The sequence below is a fragment of the Homo sapiens genome, chromosome 8, assembly GCF_000001405.40.
Source record: "Homo sapiens chromosome 8, GRCh38.p14 Primary Assembly".
Lineage (NCBI taxonomy): Eukaryota > Metazoa > Chordata > Mammalia > Primates > Hominidae > Homo > Homo sapiens.
The window spans coordinates 74,473,195-74,495,408 of record NC_000008.11 but is presented as its reverse complement, the minus strand read 5'-3'; the positions used below and the strand labels follow the sequence as shown (position 1 = coordinate 74,495,408).

Below are 22,214 nucleotides of genomic sequence, written 5' to 3'. Positions count from 1 at the left end.
TGCTTTTGTTTATAATTACACAAAAGTTTCCAGAGCTTTATTTCTCTATTTGGCAAAAGTATACAACGTCACCCAGGGCATGAGGGATGAATACACTACTGGTACAACAATATCCCATTTTTAGATATTTATAATGCATCCTATTTTCATTTTTTTCTTGTGCAAAACAATAACACTTGTAGATTTGCTTGCTCTGGCCCATAAATATGTGCATTCATAATTTATATCAAAATCTGAGTACTAGAACCAAATAATTTCTGTAATTCAAAAATTTTCATTCTTCTAAGAAATACAAATGCAGATTCCATTATGTGCCAAACACTAAGATTGAAGGTGAGTAAATAGCTTTATATCATAATATGACAGCAAGTACAGAAACGAATGGTTTGATTGAGTATATTTCAGTGAAAATTATGATTTAGAAGTTGGATCTTATTTTGAAATTAAACCAAGTGAAGATCATTTAGTGCTTATGCTCATGGGACTCTAAATCTTCAGAATGTTAAAGGATGCCTGGAGATCATTTAGTGAAATCTATGACTTGTATATCTACATATCTATGCACTGCTTTAATATCTCACAAGCAATAATGAAAATCCCTCCGGAGGCAGCCAATACAGTTTTGGACAAGTCTAATTTTTAGGATATAAAATTAAATATTCATGTCACCCAGTATAAATAGAAAGTATTTCTTTATATAATCATAAATCCATGTCACCCAGTCTAACTATAAAATCTGTCTTTATATAAACATGAATATCAGTCTCCTTTTCTAACATTTTATCATTGATCACACTTCAACCCTCCAAGGGTAATGCACAATACATCTCTTCTGCCTTCTACATGGCAACCCTCCAAAAGTTTCAAAACAATAATTATGTCTGGCTTTAGTTTTTCCATCTACAGACTAGTCAGAGTTTGTAAGCTTCCCTCACCTAGTTCCTGTCTTCTAAACACTCCAGTCCATCAATGTCTTACTTAACCCATGGTATCAGAAGTGAGCATCAGATTGTGTCTGGTCTTAACTAGGTTAGTAAAAAGAGACTATCATTAGTCTTTTTCTGGACAAAAAAAAAATCTTTCCATTAATTTGTTCAATATTTCATTGCTCTAGGAAATCACATCATACTGTTGACTCACGTTGTGTCTTCAGGTAACTATAAACTTTTTCATGTGTGTGGCTAAGAAGCCACATCTTCTCCCACTAGAATTGTGCAATGGTGATTTTTGAACACGCCTGTTTTTCCTTCTGTGTGAATATAGAAGAGTACAGACATTCCTCTTAAGTGCAATTCAAATAGTTTCACCCCATCATTCCATCCTCTCAAGATCTGTCAGGATCATTGGGTGCAGTGGCTCACGCCTGTAATCCCAGCACTTTGGGAGGCCGAGGTGGGCAAATCATGAGGTCAGGAGTTCGAGACCAGCCTGATCAACATGGTGAAACCCCATCTCTACTAAAAATCAAAAAAGTAGCCAGGCGTGGTGGCGCACCTGTAATCCCAGCTACTCAGGAGGCTGAAGCAGGAGAATCGCTTGAACCCAGGAGGCGGAGGTTGCAGTGAGCCAAGATGGTGCCACTGTACTCCAACCTGGGTGACAGAGTGAGACTCCATCTCAAAAAAAAAGCAAAGAAAAAATTTGTCAGGATCCTCATTCTGGCATTGCCTATATATAATACATTGCCAATTTCATCTCATCTGCAAATTTTGTAAACAATCCATTCTTATGCTATACAACGTACTAATTAAAAAAATAAACATGATATATGAAACATGCCACAGTAATATTGTAAAAACAGATAATGAATATGACAGTGCTAAGGAATTAGCTGTTAAAACATCTCTCCTAGTTAACATAAATTTATCAGCTCATTTTCAGAGCAGGTATTCCATTAATACTAGTGGGTTTCACCATCCCATCATCCAGTTGTTTTTGCACTTTTTCTCAAAAAAGGTCATGAGAAATGCTGCTAGAGTCTCGCAAAATTCAGCTATTCAGGGTCTACTCCATTCTTTGAACCAAATGGGCCAGTAACACTGGTGAAAACTTGGGTTTCTAGATTGTAGAAGGGCATGGTTTTGCACTAAGTCGAAGAGGGAGCTAAAATAATATTTCAGAGTATCAGAAAATTATAATATAGAAGGTAAACTTGATTCATTAAAATAAAGAGAGAACGAGGTATTTAGAAGGCAGCTCCAAAAAATTCATTGACCCTGTGGTTTGGCTAAGAAGTCGTGCCCTGGGGGGACTTAGAGACAGCTGGCTTTGCCTTCAAAAGATGTAATTGGCCTGGCCCTGGTGCTTTTATGAAGCAAGATAGCAGAGAGCTTGTCAGTTCTGAAAGAGTGTTTTGTGTTCCACACAGGCCAGCATGGGAGTGGCATTCAAACTGCAGTGTCATTCTATAAAGAGTGTGTCCTGTCTTCTGAAGGTCTCATATCCATGTCACCCAGTCTAACTTTTAGCTGACTCCTACAGTTCCTTCCTTTTTACAAAGAAGCTCTGTCTAAGTATGGGCATGGGCCTCTATGAGTCTAGATAAGGTATAACAACAGAGAGTGATCTTCATTAGAGAGGGAAGGCAGTAGGGAGGAGCTGCCAGACTTTCCTCCAGTTGCCTCCAGCACAAAGGACACACAACAGAACAAGATAGCTCTAAGGAGTTACCAGGGATCTCAAACTCAAATGACAAGCAGCTGACAGAAATAAGAGAAGCAGGCAGGTTTGGCAAATGCAAATTAAGAGTCCCATCTCAGCAGGACAGTAGTGATGCAGTTCCAGCCAACTATTGCCACACAGGGTTGTAGGATCAGAGTTACTAAATCTTCTGATTATTTTTAAAATAAGCCAGAAAACTGTATTTTGGTGAATCTGGTATCACTGAGAACCTAAAACAGCTATATGCAGCACCAGAGCAAGGAACCAGGCAGCGGGTTGCTGAGGTTTGCTCTAAGCTCTAAGATACAGGGAGAGGTGACGGGAAACTAAAATTTTCCACACTGTTGATCTATTTACCACAGCTCTTCGGGGGAGGAGGAAGCAAAAACCCTGATTAGGACTGCAGAGTGCGTGATTGATGGAAGCATTCCATATTATGTGTCTTTCCAAAAAATGAATAAGGTAATTAGAATGCTGAAAAGAAACCCAAACTTCTGGGGGAAAAATGGTTTTCATTCCTCTCTCTTTAACCCAGTGATGGAGAAGGGCTACAAGATGCTGGTCCTTCTTGACTCCTTGATCACTGTGAAGCCAGCAAGTGGAATGAACGTGGAGCACGTTCTGCTTCAGAGTCTGGAGTGTGGCTACTTCCTCACTTGAGCCTCCAGACTGACCATCATGTTAGTTCTCTTCTCCCTGAGAAGTTAAAATTTGAAATTTACCTTCGGATTCAATACACTAATTCTTTGCATTACAAAATCTTTTTAATGATAAGAATGAAAGCATGTGTTTTGCAGCAACATGGATGGAGCTGGAGGCCATTATCGTTAGTAAAATGACTGAGAAACAGAAAGTCAAAAACCACATATTCTCATTTGTAAGTGAGAGCTAAACAATGGATACGCATAGACATATGGAATGGAATAATAGACATTCGAGACTCCAAAATGTAGGAGGGTGGGAGGGGGGTGAGGAATGGCATACTGCCTATTGGGTACAATATACACTATTGAAGTGATGGGTACACTAAAAGCCCAGATTTCATCACTGTGCAATATATCCATGTAATACAACTGCACCTTGACCCCTAAATACATAACAAGTAAAAAAATTACAAACAAAAAATTGTAGGGGATAGCAACAAATATAAATTTATAATTGAAAGCATATACTTGTCTTCAATTATATCAATCAATTAATCAATTTGTGTTAGATCCTGAAGTAGGCTCTGGGGATATAATTATTATCTTAATTTGGGTTCCCCCAAAAGCAGATCCTAAAACAAAGGTCCATGTTCTAGTGGTTTATTTGGTTGAGAAGTGGGAAAATGAAAAGAGAAGGCAGACAATAAAAGTAAGCCAGCTACCATGGTGGATGATTGGGATTTAGTTCCATAGGGAGGCTCTGGGAAACATGCATCATAGAGTTATATTGCCCGAGGAGTGAGGGAGTTGAGATATTTATACACCAACTAATTCTTTTTGGTTAAGGGATTCTGGAGGATATGAATGGTGTTAATTTTCCTGCATGAGCAAAGTGGCTTTCCATAGCTTAAAGAAAGTTCTTAGGCAAAGAGACTGAGATCTGCTGGTGTACCCTGAAGTAGTAAGTCCCCTGAGATATGGATAGAACATCAGCACTATCTGCTGCACTCCTAAGTCAGTCAAAGTCCTACCCAACCACAGCTTACAGTTAGTAAGGAGAAGTTAGAGAATAAACACAATACGATATGTATAATGATGAAAGTGCATATGTATTTTGACGATAAACTTTCTGAGAGACCTTTTCAATATCAATATTCTGTATTCATCTAAAAATAATCATGATGAAATCATAGCTAGTATTGTTTGTATATTTACTGTTTATCAAGCAAGTTACTTGATCCTAGCCTTCTTCTCTGAAGTATTAAATTCAGAGTATTTTTCTTTCTATGATTAATATTCTTTTATTCCTCACTCATTTCTAATTATGTCACTTTGCTATATTTTGTGAACCATTTTAAGCCACCATGGATCTTCTTCTGGATCAGAGAAAGAGATTGCACAAGTGAGCAAATGAAAGAAAAGAGGATTGGGAGAAAGGAGAAAGAGAAAATAGAATAAAACACATATTTTTTTTAATTTGATGCAGTAGCCTTTTGAGAAGCAAAATGGATTGGATACAATCTAACTTTTCTTTCCACTTACAATATAACATATGGCTCCCTGCATTGGTAAGGAGATAGAGAAATCTTCTTGCAGCAAAATATTTGTTCTCCCTAAGAGGGCCTCTTGAATAAGTGAAGTAAATGATAGATGGCCCTGTTAGAGGAGCTGATGAGAAAATGCATACTAAGTAGAAGGAATTTTAGAAAACGTTACAGAGCTGATCAAATGGACATGTATACTAGGTCATTTATCTAAAATGCCCTGGTTAGGACTAGTATGTATAAAGAAAAATGCTTTGGGGAGTGTTGAAAATGGTCTCAAGAATCCAGAAAGCATGGTGATTGAAATAATAACAGAGAAGCTTAGATGATGAGCTATATTCCCTTTCCAGAACCATCTTGATATACTAGGATACCTGGGGAGCTCTAAATGAATATGAGGTTTCTACACGGAGAACATTAGCAGGACCAATTCAAGGCATGTGCCTATTTATCAACAATGGTGTAATTTTTTTTACAAACTTTTATGGGGCTGTCAGACAATAGTAATTACGAAGAGAGGTAGAGTTGTATAGTGAAAACAGCATACCAGCTCAGTGAAAAAAGTTCAAATTCAGCACCACCACCTAGCAGTAGCTTGGTGACTTGCCCCAAGTCATCTAATCTTCCTAAGCCTCATGTCTCAATCTACAAAATGGAGCTAATATTAATACCTAGAATTGGCAGGTATTAATAATACACAATGACAACAATAATTGAATGAGATAAAGGATGCATACAAACAATGGTTATTTACATATTTCCCACTGTCAAATTAAGCAATCAAAAGATACTTCATTTGGTGTCCTAACATGATTGTTAACATACATATTTCCCACTGTCAAATTAATCAATCGAAAGATCCTTTGTTTGGTGTCCTAACATGATTGTTATCAGAGAATGTAAGAAGATTCTGGATTATAATCTGCTTTTTTATAGCATCCCTATCTCAATTCTATCCCTACCAAAACTATACAGCTTTAATGAATGAAGATTGATTTAGAAATAGTGGTCTCTCTCACCACTGTAACATTGTGGTTTCTAATATCATGAGTCTAGTAATAGAGTATTGGCATCTGAAATGCTTCTTACATGGGAAGAGATATTTCTTTCCTGTCAGCTGCACATAATAAACAATGTGTGCTTGTTTTTGGTTTTTTGTTTTTGGTTTTTTACAATAAACAAGGTGTGTGACCTCTAACTCTGCCTCAAGCTGGGGCATTATTTTGTTATCAAACAAGATGCCTGTCCTGATGTGGCCTTATAAAGACCCTAAGCCTCTGTGGCTGTATGCACTCTACTTGATTGCTTCTATGTACCAGGACAATACATATATTCAGGACACTGAGTATATGTACAACTCCATTCAAAAACAATTCATCAGGTTAATAGTCCTTGAGTTACACATGTGCCACCATTTTTCCATGGCCAAGTTGCTTCAGTTTGAACTAATCATATATTAAGTAAGTCCTCATAAGCAAGATTTTTATGCTTAAGTTTGTTGGCTTCCTACTTAACTTTTCAAAATACGTCCATAACACTCTAAGTTTGGCCTGTAATCCTAGTTCAGCTTGAGTCCATTGTGAGGATTTATTGATTGATTACTTTGAAAACACTAATGCAAGATCAGAAGGGCAGGAAAATTTTCCACACAATCCTGATTATACAAAATAAGATAGCAAGAAGGGGAGAAAGGCTCCAAACCTATTTATTCATTATTTGCTAATAAAATTTTTAAAGTGGGTTTGCTGAAATAAACCCAACTGGCAGGTGCCAGATCAGCTCTGCTATTGATACACTGTCAAGGCAGCAAGCTCTGCCAAGTCCACTGTTGTCTTTGGCACCAGGTGAGCTGTTCTTCCACCAGTATGCTGCATATGAGAAGCTAAAAATAGAAAGCAAATACATTAATTGGGTAATTGCATTCAATAAATCATAGTCTTCAGCATTTAATTATATAGTTTGTAAGAACATATTAACCAAAATAAGTCTCAATGTGTATGCAAAGAGTATACTTAGGTCAGTAGCAACTAACTCACTCTATCCATAACAATCACCATTAGAAACCACAGCCATATTTGTTTCTTTAGAGTCCAAGAAATGTCATTCTTATGTCCAAGTATGATTAGAAAGTTACACTAAAAATTGATGAGGGTACAGGACACTTCCCAAACTCCTGTTGTGGGGGAAAGGAAGAAGTACTCCTAGGAATTTCATCCCTCAAGAGCTTGACAAAATCCAACAGTGATATTTTGGAAATGCCTTACAAGTTAAAAGCAAATATTCTTTACCAATAACTTCCGTAGAAAAAGATAAAATATATTCTGATTGTTAACTACTCAAAATGCCTGTGGATCAAAGTAGAGGAATGAATGAATGTGCTAGTTTAATAATTTTTAACTTTAATAATTAGACTTTAATGCTTGTTCCTCTAATATTTTATTAGTAGAATCACTAGAATGTACAAGAAATAGAGGTACATATTGAAAAAGCTCTAGCAAAAGCAGTACATTGCAGAAAAGTATTCTCTCTGTAAAGGGCTGAGAAGAGAATGGCATGAGTGTGGAATGGCATATGAACAAGTCTGTTGAATTTAGGTCTGGCACACAAATCTCCATTTTTATCCAAGACCCCAGTGTTTGGATCAAGATGTAACTTCTTAGAAATGTCCTAGGCAAGCATGTCTTTCAACAACACTTCCCAATTTATGGTCCATATCCTTCAGCTGATGGCAGGATGGATGCCTTTCCTCTCAGTGGACCTCAAAGCTCAATCCAGAGCTGATTCTTAGATCCTAAGATTAAGTTAAAGAGGCAAATATAAAATAGATCTCTTGGCCTAAATGACCTACTGTACCTCTCTACCTTTTGAATTTCCTAGAAAATTGTTCATATCTACATTACTTTCCAGTCCTGCCAGAGAAGTAAAAAGGACCAATGGAACACATGAACTTCACATTTGGCTTCAGCCATTTAGGTCTACCCCTGCCAAGCCCATCATTTTCAGTGAGTATTGAATATTCATATTTCCCGCTTTTCTCAATTATATTAAGCCAGACACCTGCTATGTTCATCTAGCCATCATCAGATACAAGAGGATTTGCCCACATTTGCCAGCTTGGACAAAGAAGTTTTAATTCCCTTTTAAGAGGCAGTATATCCCTCCTCTATGCAATATTGGAAGCCAGGATGGAAAGAAGAATGGCTATGAATTAATGTTTTAGAAAAATAATAATATATCTTAGTTTTCCTATTTCCCTCACTTTGGGGCTTGCATTCATCTTCCTTAAGGTATGTTTTTGTTGAAATGGTTTCCTTCATTTCCACTGCAATGTATCAAACTGCTAATTCTAAGACAACTGACCTATTTCGTTTTCTGGGAACAGCCTATTTTCACATATAATATTAATAAAGCTAACATTAATCAAGGGTTTACCATGTGCCAGGCACTGTGCCATGGTCTTTTAAATGCAAATCTCATTTAATAATCATGACTCTATGAGGTATGTTCTATTATTATTCCCAACTTACAGATGGAAATGGAGGCTTGGAGAGGAGAAGTAACTTGTGAATGGTTACATAGCTTGTTAGTAAGTGAGATAGAATAATTTAAACGAGGTCTACCTGACTCCAAAGCCTATTCATGTTTCTAGTATGGCTGTTTGAAGCCTTACTGACATAATTCACAATGAAAAACATCAAGAAAGTGCAATGAAGGACAGATTCTGTACCTATACTTTAGTATTTATTGACTTGATTTAAGTCATAGGAGAAACTGCCGAGGGCAGAACAATAAAATATGTTAATATCCAAACAGGGAATATCATGGGGCCTTCTTAGCTGAGAAAGGAGACTTCAGGTAATAATTTTGTGTATTGTCAGATCCATAAATGAAACCACAACAACCTTCACTACTCAGTGAAGCCACTGTGCTTCATAACTCCCAACAGTGCTTCAGCCTCAAGAAGAACAGTACGTTCTCTTTTCTGGATTTTTGAGAATCTTTCAACCTCTTTGTGTGAAAACAAAATCATCAAAAGCAGAAATTCCAGCGTCAGCTGGTTATTCACTAATTTATTCGTGAAGTGCATTATGCAAAGCACTGAAGATAAAATAAGATTCTGACCACACAGAATTTGCTGTCCAGAAGGAGAGCTAGACATGTGAAGGAAACCTTGCCTCAGCATGTGATAAGTGTGCAAAGTGCAGCAAAGGCAGCAAAATAGAGTGACCGCCTGTGGCTGCATCATGAAACATGGCATTAGAACATAAGAAAAACATCACTGTATTTTCATTTATATTTTTCCTGCCATAAAAAATAAAAAACGAATAATAGTAACTCTATAGGTTTCTTGGCCCAGAGAAGAGACATGTCATCTGATACCAAACATTTTCCTGTAGGTAATGATTTTCTGTTCATTCCGTCCTATGACAAGAATCCTATCAGCCTATGTGTGTAACTATGCCCCCATGGAATGGTGGGAGCCAAGCCTAAGTCTTGCTAACATGGATTTCCCCTTCAGTGGAATTCTCTCAAGGAGGCTATGTAAATAAAGAGAGAATTGCTGCCCCTGAGTTCAGTACCACAGATTTTCTTTCCCACACAGGACAAGTGACCATCTCCCACTCACCACTTTTGGGTCAGTTTTCCAAATCATCACTGTTGCCATGTTTCCTCATTCTTGGGCTCTGGACACCACAACAGTTCCTATGGTCCAGCAGAGTCCACACTCCCCCTAATCCCCCATCAAATGGCCAAACCTCACCCAACAAACCATTTTCCCCAGTTGATTCAAGGTGGTTTCCTCAGTGGGGCACAAAATTGCCATGTATATTCCTGCTTCTGTGATTTTTTTTTTCATCTTTCTCCCTCACTTGGAAGACCAAGCCTCTCTCTGTCTCTCCAGCCTTCAGGTTCTTCCCATTTAAAGCCTTTCTTAATGACTTCAACTCTCTCCCGAATAATAACATAACACTTTGGGCTCTGTCAAAAAATTAAGTGCTTGATTATATCGGATCTTGTATTGCTCTCTAACCATTTTTTGTATATATGTTTAAATGCTGTATGACAGCAAGAATTGTGCCTCATATGCCGAGGGACCACCTAATCTATCACCCAAACTGAGAGTAAAAAGAAGGTATTAATAGTGACTTTTAGATATCAGACATAATCAAGGGGTGTCCCTGGAAAGCCAGGACTAATGGTCACTCTATTTCATTTGTATCTGTCACAGTTCTTGGTATAGAACCTAGGTCAACAATTACTTGACTTAGATTGCTGCACTGCTTTCTGAAGGACAAACAGAATTTTACCTATAAATCTTTGGATTTGGAATAACTTTTTGATTTCATAATCGTATCATGGGAATTGTTGTCAGTTTTTAATAACTGAAACACAGAAAGTAAGAGGGATATGGGTAATATTTTAAGCTGTGGAACCCAAAGGAAAGGAATTATAAAAAAAATTACATATTAACTAGTGTAACTTTATTCTGCAGGTGACAGAGCACCATTTGTGATTTTTAAGTAGTAGGGTAGTTTTGCATGTGAATGTGTGGGTTTGAAATGGTAAAGGATAAACTTGGAAAATCTGAGAATGGCTGAAAAGAGACTTTGGGCAATGGTTACCACAGTCTAACTAAGAAATGATGAGGGCTTGAACTTGGCCGGTGGTAATGAGAGAACATAGACCAGAGATTTTTTGACTTACTGTATAGGGGATAAAACAGAAGGAATCAAGATGACTAGGTTTATGGACTTTTAGGAAACTCAGTGGGCATATCCAGAAAAATAAGATTTGCCTCACAGAAATAACAAGCAGAATGCAGCAGAACCAGACATCTACTGATGTTCCTCTGTGTGTTGTCTTTTTAGCAAGCCCATTTTTGCCAGTTCCCAGGAGCAGTAATGTGGATCTAGGATCAGGTATCTCATAACACTATGGTTTTTCTGAAATGGGAAAAGCATATTCATCCATTTGATGATTGAGGCTAATTTTATGATCAACTTTGCTTATCCAAGTTAGGCAGAAATCTTCTCCTTCTTTCATAGCTATATATCATAAAACTATTGCAGAATCAGCAATGTGTTCTGTGATGTTTAGTTGTCATTATTTTCCGATATCCTTAGAACAAAGAATGAATACATAATGGAATGCTGTTACAAATGCAATGTCTGCTATAATATCTGGTCCTGAATGAATGAATAAAAGCTCAGTCATTTAAAGAGCAACTTTATATGTCTAAGCTCACTGATGCAAATATAACCTGCTAATATGTCCTGGAATCAAAAATTCAATCTGAATGTATGACGTATAGAAGGAAATTGTTAATTGGAATGTTCAATTAATGTTCAGCTTATGGTATAATTTTATAATATAACTTCACTTTTTAGAATCTTCTAGTTTTTGTAAGCAACTTCTATACAAAATTTCCAGATCAAATAATAATTTTAATTAGTATTTTAAATGAACATTTATTCATTAAACCAATATTATTGTGTACAATTGTAGATTGAATTCAATTTTCTCTTGCCTCCAATAAAGAAGGAACAACATAGATATTTTTGCACTTTTCTGAGCAAAGTCATGTACTCCTCACTATATTAGTTCCTAAGTCACTTCATCCTGTCGAAATCCGTGACCACTTGGAAGGAAAGAAGTCTTTGGCCAACTATCCCGTAAGGTGGCCCTGGGACACACAGCCTTTAGCAGAAGGAGAAATCACTGCATTTCAAGAAAATCCTGGTTCAACAAAAGGCAAGAGTTAGCCCTCCAACTTCTCCTAAGTAGAAGCTATTCCAATATAACTGGAGTTAAGCATGACTCCTGTAGGTAGATAAAATATATAACCAATATATAATACCATTTCAAGAGTTCTGGAAAGATCCTTCTGGCCAAAAATAATCTCCACTCACTGCTTAGTAGTGCCTCTGAGAGTATGGAGTTTCTTTACACATAACTAAAGACACTGCTTTAAATGTATATAACCCTATAAAAGATGACTTCTTTGAAATGCGTGCCAATGCACAGATGGCTTATCCAATACTTTATCTTGAGAGTACCCTTTAATAAGGAGGAAAAATGAATGACTTCCTATCCAAAAGCTACCCATGCTTTAATACACAGCTCTAATTCTATTTGGTTGGTGCAAAAGTAATAGCGGTTCTTGCCACAAGAAACACAATTACTTTTGCACCAACCTAATAGTCTGTGTAAAGCCTTATTCTGAAAAACTATGGTTCAAATGTCTACCCTCATTATATGCTGCCTACTGTTATTGTGTGTTTATCTTATTCCTCTGTAAGAATATAAACTCTGAGCATTTGATGGAATGTTATAACTCTTTCTATTCCTCAAGGCCTTAGCTCAGTGTCTTATTGATCTAATTAATGCCCAATAATAATTACTTACACATAGAACTCTAACTGTGTGTCCAGAAGAGCACTAGCTCTATGGTCTCATTCATTTATTGTGATCAGAAACAACCTCATAAAGTAGAACAGAGTTTACTTTCATTTTAAGATTAAGCTGCCAGGGCTTGCAGCAGTTAAGTAACTTATTCAAGTTACACAGCCAGCAAATGGCACAAGCAGAATTCAAGTCCAGGAAGTCTGACTCCAGAGCCCATGTCTGTAACTCCTACACTGTACTGCCTCTATGAGCATTTGTTAAAACAGAGGAAAGAGCACAAGAGCATCAGGTACTTAGTGTCACAGAGAGTGTAGAAAGGAGAAACTAATTGTAATGAAAATCACATCATTTCACACCAAAGTTCTGTTAAAAGTTGTTTCTACCCAGAATCACAGGCTCAAATATTTCTATTTATCCAGTAAGTGTGCCTTTCTCACTTACAATAAGGAAAGAGAGGCTGTCATATGCATGTGTCGTGGAGAAAGAAACCTGGAAACGTTGCTTCCAAATGAACAACTTCTAAAGGAGGAAAGAAACAAGCAGTCCAGGTGATACTTTTGGATGTGTCCATATTAAAGGAATGCCCAATCATCTAAACATTTTTTGTTTCATTTTTTTTCATTTTTTAACCATTTTTGTTTTGTTTTTTAACCATGCCACATAACACATCTTCTCACACAAGTAGTTGATGCCCTGCCCATCTATAGACAGAAAATCTGGAATACAATGTGAAAACTAAGTAAATGAAACAAATTCCTAGTAATTCCTCAAGATCAGAAGAGGAAGTAGAGGTGATAGGCCCCTGGAAAGCCATATTGGATCCTTGCATAGGGATAATTTGCTGATATATTCATGGAGGCCAAATACTGAGGAACTATATTCCTTATCACATGGGAGCTGCCACTTTTGCCTGAAGGAATCGTGAACTCCATAGGTTTGATGCTGCTGCTGAGAATAACATAAGAATGTAAATGAGGCAAATAGTGTCAAATTAAGCTACTTGATCCTGGAAGAAAGATGACCCCCCCCCCCCAAAAAAAAACCCTTCAGTTTGGTTTGAGAAGCATGTGGGAAGTCTAACAGAAAGTCCTTCCCCCTTCACCACCGTACTGCTCCTTTATCCCCATTCCACCTCATACCACAAAAAGTCTATCTCCATTACACCAGATTTCTCTTTTAGACTCCTCCCCTGCTAAAGACCAACTCCCATGTCTATATCCCCATTGTTTTATTCCTTTGTCTAGCCTGTTTAAAATAAATGATGGTAAGTTATGTAATCCATTTCCATCATCAACCATAACAAACAAAAAATTGGGTATTTTCCCAGCAGTTTTCAAGCTTTTTAGCCCCCTTCTCCTTATTGTGCACTGGTGTTTTTTATTATTAATAGGAAAATTATTCAAGAGAAGAGAAGCTTATTTTAGTTAATAATACACTGAGGAGCCAATTTTTGGTTTTAGCCTCCAGAGTAATGAGCAAATCTGAACTGGCCTAGCTCCAGTCAGACCAAAACAAAGCCACAGGGGTGAACAACTTATTAGAAAGGGAGTTGTTATTGCCCAAAATGAAGGTTTGTCTGGAGAGCAGCAATTCAAAGAAGTGAGATAGAAGAAGGTAGAACTTTATTACACTGATGTAGGCAAATAATCCCTGTCTTATTTTTAGTTATAGGAAGAAAAATCTCTACAATAAGGCATGGACTTCACAAGATAAGGCCAACATAGTCAAAGAACAGACTTTAGGACTACAATGTCAGGAATGATATATTGTCTATATACTAGTAACCAAATTTTGTAGATGCCATTACTGCAGCTATTCCAAGTGCCATCCTAGAAGGTAGTAGAACTGACCTGGCTTAGCCCTGCCCTGGCTGAAGGCACTGTTCTGAGAACCATTACTTCTAATTATTTTTACTAGCGTCCAAATGCACTGGGTGCCCCAAAGGCAGCTAGTCTGTGACAGAGCTAAAACCCAATCCCAGGCATTCTGATTTCAATGTCCACTAGCTTGGTAACCTCTCAGTGTCACAGTTTCTTCAACTGTTAAATGAAAATGGTAATATTAGCTCCCTAAATGGATTATTATAAAATTATAAGGATTAAATCATTTAAAATACATAAAGTACTCAGGATACATTGTAAGTACTCTATAAATATCAACTACTAGTTTTTTCCCAAAACAAACTAAGACCCCCAACAATGCTTTATTGCAATCAGGATACAGTCTTAGATTCCCAGGAAGTTCTACTGGATCCAAGATGAATTCCATTACCTGAATGGCTTAAAACAAATATAGGAGAACAGGTCTGTTCTGCCAACTTCCACCCTATTGCCCAAATCTTCTATTCCAAAGTGAAGAATTGGAATAGGTTTAATAAGAAACAGAAGAAAGCTCAAAAGACACAGTGTAATTATCTAGGACAAGATTATTTTTCATACTTGACATTAAAAGTTGACCTCTAGAAATGTGACTCAATTTTGTGATTTCAAATTTGACCAACACATAGATAGAGGAAGACAGTAAGGAAGCTAGGAGCTTCTGTAAGGCAACAACTTCCTTTTATGACTGACAATGACAATACCATTCACACATCATCCAAACAAGAAATCATAGACTAAGGAGTCTTCAGTTCCTCATTTCCTCTCACTTGCCAAAAGCAAATGATGCTTAACGTTTCTCTGCCTGTGCAACCAATATTCTAGTTCAGACCTTTAGTATCCATTTCCTGAACTTCTGAATAGTCATCCTGGAAGTAACCTCTTTATTCCACAACCCAACTCCTAGAGTGACAGTACAGTTAATGTGTCTGACTGCAAAAATAGCCCAGTACTTTGCAGTGCAGTTCCATCCATCAAGATACAGAGCCGGCCGGGCGCAGTGGCTCACACTTGTAATCTCAGCACTTTGGGAGGCCGAGGCGGGTGATCTTGAGGTCAGGAGATCGAGACCATCCTGGCTCACATGGTGAAACTCCATCTCTACCAAAAATACAAAAAATTAGCTGGGTGTGGTGGCATGCGCCTATAATCCCAGCTACTCGGGAGGCTAAAGCAGGAGAATCGCTTGAACCTGGGAGGCAGAGGTTGCAGTGAGCCAAGATTGCGCCACTGCACTCCAGCCTGGGCAACAGAGCGAGACTCCATCTCAAAAAAAAAAAAAAAAAAAAGAGAGTCCATTTCTTCACTCACTCAGGGATCACCATGGGAACTGGGAATAGCCTAGCTAATTCCTCTAGCCAATAGAGAGCAATAGAAGTGACATTGTGAGTTCCAAGCCTAGGCCTCAAAAAACCCTACAGCCTCTGCTCTTGCTGTTCTTAGAACCTAGTGCCTGCCATATAAAAACCCCAGGCTAGCCTGCTGCATAATGAAGGATTTTTGGCCTAGCAACCCTGACACCCTGACAGGGTCCAGTTATCCTAGAAGCTTCAGCTGCCAACTCAACCTACCAGCTGGCTACACACATAGGCGAGAACCTAGCAGGATTAGCTGAGCTGGTCCAGACAAAAAGAATTGGCCAACTGACCCACAGAAGAACTAAATAAATAGTGATTGCTTTAAGCCACTAACATTTCAGGTAATTTGCTATTCAGCAAAAAAGATTACATTTAATACAGATTTCATTTAATCTTTTAAAAATTGCAGGTAAAAATATCATTTAACATAGAAGCAACATTCATAAAAAAGAAATTATAGGAAATAAAGATAAATAGAAACACTTTTATAATTAGGAGATTTTAATTTCCACTTCTCAGTCCATGAAAGCTAAGTGGGAAAAATAGGTAAGGACATAAAATATCTAAATAATATAATTATAAAGTAGACTTGATTAATATTTATTGAACTATCTGCCTTAAAAATACAGAATATCCTTTTGAAGGCAATAAAAGTAGAAATTAAATACAAAACCAAATAACAGAAAGGTCTTCTACCTGGAAATTTTAAACCAGTAAGCAAAATTTCAAGAAAGTAATAATAATAACAACACTATTATAAGGTCTGTAAAGTGCAGCTAAAACATTGCTTAGAAAAAAATTTCGGCATTTAACTTATGTCACCAAGATGGCTGACTAAACTCAATCAGGAGGAGTATCTTCCACTAAGGGACCACGACATCAGAAAGACTGGTGCACTCCCAGCAGATCTTCACAGGGAAAGCATTGAGGGTGAATGGAGGGAAGACACAGATGCTGAGTTGAAAGGGGAGGAAGCTGGGAACCCTGTACAAGGCTACCATGCACTGGAATTTGTTCCTGGTCCACAGTGACTCCTGGGGAAGAGGTGAGTTGAACTGGCAAGAGCAACCGCTCTCACCATAGTCCTCCGGCATCCTGGCAGGAGGAGACCCCTTAGCCACCACACACACTTGAGTTGTCAGGGAGAACTGCTTAGACAAGTGGTAGGGGCAGAACTCCAGCTGGTGCGGAGCCCAGAGGGTCTGGTGTGGGAGTGGCTACAGTGGAGCACAGCCAGGGACACCCATTCCCCTAGGCTGGACTTGTGCCTAGGAGACTTTTAGTCTTAGGGGAAAAGTTAGATCTGAACTCTGCAGGATGGTACTACCTGCAAGATGGGGCCAGTCTGACCTGAGCACCCCTCAGTCTGCTGGCATCTCCTGGGGCCCCAGCTTGGCCATGCCTGCTTGCGGTGCAGCCTCCAGGTAGCTCCTGGGGGCCCACATCATAGCTCCTGTGCTGGCTGACCACACCTGACTGGTAGAGTGTACCAGCAGAGAAGCCCCCATAGACACACACCAGCCTACCCACGCCCTCCCTGTACTGCAGCCTCCCACCTGCCACTTTGCCTGCATACACTCAACCACGGCCACCCCCAACATCCCTTGGCCGGCACAGCTGTGCACCAGTGGACCTTACTTTTCCTTCCCCACCAACACATGTGTGCACGTGCACCTGACCATGTCACTGCTGCCAGTGTGAGGGCACTCTGCCCCTCTCCCCTTGCCACACTGCCATTGTTGTCTGTTGGCAGGCAGGGAACCTACCAGCCCCACCCCTACTAGCTGCTCCCCACCCCCACCACCCCACCAGCACCCTGTGCCTGTGCTAACACTGCTGCCAGCACAAAACTAGGCAAAAAGAACAGTAAAGCCGTCCTGGCTCTGAACAGTCACTGCCACTGACTCGAATGTGCGCATAGGATACACACTGTCCTGCTCCCACTAGTGCCCTGCCTCTATCCTAACACCACCATCAGCAAGAACGGACACCCAGTAGCTGGTGAAGGGGACAGCACCACCCCAACCATGCTGCTAATGCGACTACTGTGAACATCCACATGAAAGCCAGTACCCCAGCACATACTAGCACCTTGCCCCAGCTGATGAGTGTGCAGTGCACTGCACTGCCCTTGCCACTGTTGCTGGTATATGTGAATGAAGACAGATTCCACTGCCACTGCCCTTTGAAGTGCTTTGGCTGGCACCACCCATTAGAGTGTTGTGACCAGCAGTCTGGGAGTACCTGGGCCCCTCCAACACAGCAGGTTTCTAACCTTAAGGAGCCAGAGAACAAAGCCAGTCTTGATATCAGTACCCCAGGGTTAGAGAATACAGCCTAGGAGTCCTGAGCTGAGCCTTGGCCCCCTAAAATCTTCCAATAACAAAGCCAGTTGACTGAGTTCACTTTATACCACAAACCCCCAAGGTCATCAAATAGAATTAAAAAAAAAAACCATCCAAAGGACAGCAACTTCAAAGATTGAAGGAATATTAGCCCACAAAGATGAGAAAGAACCAGCACAAGAACTCTGACAACTCAAAAAACCAGAGTGCCTTCTTTCCTCCAAGCAACTGCACTAGTATTCCAGCAAAGGTACTTAACCAGGCTGAGATGGCTGAAACAATAACAATGGAATCAAAAATATGGAATCTGGTTGGGGATGAAGATCACTGAGGTTCAAGAAAACGTTGAAACCCAATCTAAGGGAGCTAAGAATCCTAATAAAGTGATACAGGAGCTGACAGACAAAATAGCCAGTAGAGAAAAGAATGTAACTGACTTGATAGAGCTGAAAAACACACTTCAAGAACTTCATAATGCAATCACAAGTATTAACAGAATGATAGACCAAGATAAGGAAACAATCTCAGAGACTGAACACCGGCTTTCTGAAATAAGGCAGTCAGACAAAAATAAAGAGAACAGAATGCAAAGGGACAAACAGAACCTCTGAGAAATACAGGATTATGTAAAGAGACCAAATTTATGACTCATTTGTATCCCTGAAAGAGATGAGGAGAATGGATGCAATTTGAAAGACATATTTCAGGATATTATCCATGAGAACTTCCCCAACATAGCTAGAATGGCAAATATTCAAGTTCAGAAAATTCAGAGAACCCTCACAAAATACTTCACAAGAAGGCCATCATGAAGACATATAATCATCAGACTCTCCAAGCTCAAAATGAAAGAAAAAATGTTAAAGGCAGCAAGAGAGAAAGGACAGGTCGTATACAAAGGGAAGCCTATCAGGCTAACAGTAGACCTCTCAGCAGAAACCCTACAAGCCAGAAAAGATTGGGGGCCTATATTCAACATTCTTAAAGCAAAGAAATTCCAACCACAGCTTTCATATCCTGCCAGACTAAGCTTCATAAGCAAAGGAGAACTAAAATCTTTTTCAGATGAGCAAATTCTGAAGGAATTTGTTACCACCAGACCTGCCTTACAAGAGCGCCTGAAAGAAGTGCTAAATATGAATAGGAAAGACCATTATTGGCCACTGCAAAAACACATGAATACACAGACCATTGACACTATAAAGCAACCACACAAACAAGATGACATAATAATCAGCTAATGACACAATAACAGGATCAAATCCACACATATCAATACTAACCTTGAATGTAAATGGCATAAATATCCTGATTAAAAGGCACAGAGTGGCAAGCTGGATAAAGAAGAAATACCCAATCGTATGTTGTCTTCAAGAGACCCATTTCACATGCAATGACACACATAGGCTCAAAATAAAGGGATGGAGAAAAATCTGCCAACCAAGAGGAAAACAGAAAAATAATAAAGGGGTTGCAATCCTAATTTCAGACAAAACAGACTTTAAATCAACAAATATCAAAAAAGACAAAGAAGGGTATTACAAGTGGTGAAGGGTTCAATTCAGCAAGAAGACCTAACCATCTTAAATATATATGCACCCAACACAGAAGCACCCAAATTCATGAAGGAAGTTCTTAGAGATCTTCAAAGAGACTTAGACTCCCACACAATAATAATGAGAGAATTCAACACCCCATTGACAGTATTAGACAGATCATTGAGTCAGAAAATTAACAAAGATATTCAGGACCTGAACTTAACACTGGACCAAATGGATCTAATAGACATCTACAGAACTCTTCACCCAAAAACAACAGAATATACATTCTTCTCATTGCCACATGGTACATACCAAAATCAACCACACAATCAGACAAAAAACAATCCTCAGCAAATGCAAAAGAAGCAAGATCATACCAACAACTCTTTCAGACCACAGGGCAATAAAAATAACATTCAAGACTAAAAAAGTAGCTCAAAACCATACAATTACATGGAAATTTAAAAACCTGTTCCTAAAAGACTTTTAGATAAATAATGAGATTAAGGCAGGAATCAAGAAGTTATTTGAAACTAATGAGAACAAAGATACAATATACCAAAATCTCTGTGACACAGCTAAGGAAGTGTTAAAAGGAAAATTTATGGCACTAAATGCCTATATCAAAAAGTTAGAAAGATCTCAAGTTAACAACCTAATATCACAACTAAAAGAACCAGAGAAGCAAGAGCAAACCAACCCCAAAGCTAGCAGAGACAAGGAATAAGCAAAATCAGAGCTTAACCAAAGGACACTGAGACACAAAAAAATCCATTCAAAAGATCAACAAAGCCAGGAGTTGGTTTTTGAAAAAAAATAATAATAAGATAGATAGACTGCTAGCTATATTAATAAAAAAGAAAAGCAAGAAGATCAAAATAAACACAATTAGAAATGACAAAGGAGATAATACCACTGACCCCACAGATATACAAATAACTATTAGAGAATATTATGAACACCTCTATGCACACAAACTACAAAATCTAGAGGAAATGGATAAACTCCTGGACACATAAACTGTCCCAATACTGAACCAGGAAGACTGAACAGACCAACAATGAGCGCCAAAATTGAATCAGTAATAAATAGCCTACCAACCAAAAAAAGCCCAGGACCAGATGGATTCACAGCTGAATTTTACCAGATGTACAAAAGAGCTGGTACCATTTCTACTGAAACCATTCCAAAAAATTGAGAAGGGATCCCTCCCCAACTCATTCTATAAGGCCATCATCATTCTGCTACAAAAGCCTGGCGGAAACACAACCAAAAAAGAAAACTGAAGGCCAAAATCCTTGATGAACATTGATGCAAAAATCCTCAACATAATACTAGCAAACTGAATTCAGCAACACATCAAAAAGCTAATCCACCATGATCAAGTAGGCTTTATTCCTGGGATGCAAGGTTGGTGCAACATACACAAATCAATTAATGTGATTCATCATATAAACAGAACTAACAACAAAAACCACATGATTATCTCAAAAGATGCAGAAAAGGCTTTCAATAAAATTCAGTATCCCTTCATGTTAAAAACTCTCAATAAACTAGGTATTGAAAGGACATACCTCAAAATAATAAGAACCATATATGACAAACCCACAGCCAACATCATACTGAATGGGCAAAACCTGGAAGCATTCCCCTGAAAAATCAGCACAAGACAAAGATGCCCTCTCTCACCACTCCTATTCAACATGGTGTTGGAAGTCCTGGCCAGAACAATCAGACAAGAGAAAGAAATAAAGGGCATCCAAATATGAAGGTAGGAAGTCAAGCTACCCTTGTTTCCAGATGACATGATTCTATATCTAGAAAACCCCACAGTCTCAGACCAAAAGCTCCTAAAGCTGATAAAAAACTTCAGCAAAGTCTCAGATTACAAAATCAATGTACAAAAATCACTAGCATTCCTAGCTAAGAACAAACTGAAAGCCAAATCGGGAATGCAATCTCATTCACAATTGCCACAAAGAGAATAAAATATCTAGGAATACAGCTAACCAGGGAGGTGAAAGATCTCTACAATGAGAACTACAAACTCAAGGAAACAGAGGTGAAACAAATAAATGGAAAAATATTCCATGTGCATGGATAGGAACAATCAATATTATTAAAATGGTTATGCTGCCCTAAACAATTTACATATTCAATGCTATTCCTATCAAACTACCAATGACACTCTTCACAGAACCAGGAAAAAAACTATTCTAAAATTCATAGAGAACCAAAAAAGGGCCTGAATAGCCAAGGCTATCCTAAATAAAAGAACAAAGCAGGAGGCATCATGTTACCTGACTTCAAACTGTACTACAGGACTACAGTAACCAAGACAGCATGGCAGTGGTACAAAAACAGACACAGAGGCCAATGGAACACAATAGAGAGCCCAGAAATAAGGCTACAGCCTTATACACCTATAACCATCTGATCTGTAACAAAGCTGAAAAAAAGCAAGCAATGAGGAAAGGACTCCCTATTCAATAAATAATGCTGGAATAACTGGCTAACCACATGCAGAAGATTGAAACTGAACCCTTTCCATACACCATATACAAAAATCAATTCAAGATGGGTTAAAGGCTTAAATGCAAATCCCAAAACTGTAAAAATCCTGGAAGACAACCTAGGCAATACCATTCTGGACACAGGAATGGACAGAGATTTCATAATGAAGACATCAAAAACATTTGCAACAAAAGCAAAAATTGACAAATGGTATCTAATTAAACTAAAGAGCTTCTGCACAGCAAAAGGAACTATCAACAGAGTAAACAGACCACCTACAGAATTGGAGAAAGTATTTGCAAACTATGCATCGGACAAAGGTC

The 22,214-nt window shown here is 38.5% G+C and overlaps 1 protein-coding gene across 1 annotated transcript in view; it reads right to left on the bottom strand.

Annotated features, from left to right (window-relative positions):
• Positions 6,537-22,214, bottom strand: part of GDAP1 (ganglioside induced differentiation associated protein 1) — a 138,470-nt gene continuing 122,792 nt past the window's right edge. Inside the window, exon 6 of the mRNA NM_001362931.2 lies at positions 6,537-6,731. Within this exon, the coding sequence (NP_001349860.1) occupies positions 6,634-6,731 (98 nt within the window). The 3' untranslated portion in view covers positions 6,537-6,633. The remainder of the gene's footprint in view (positions 6,732-22,214) is intronic.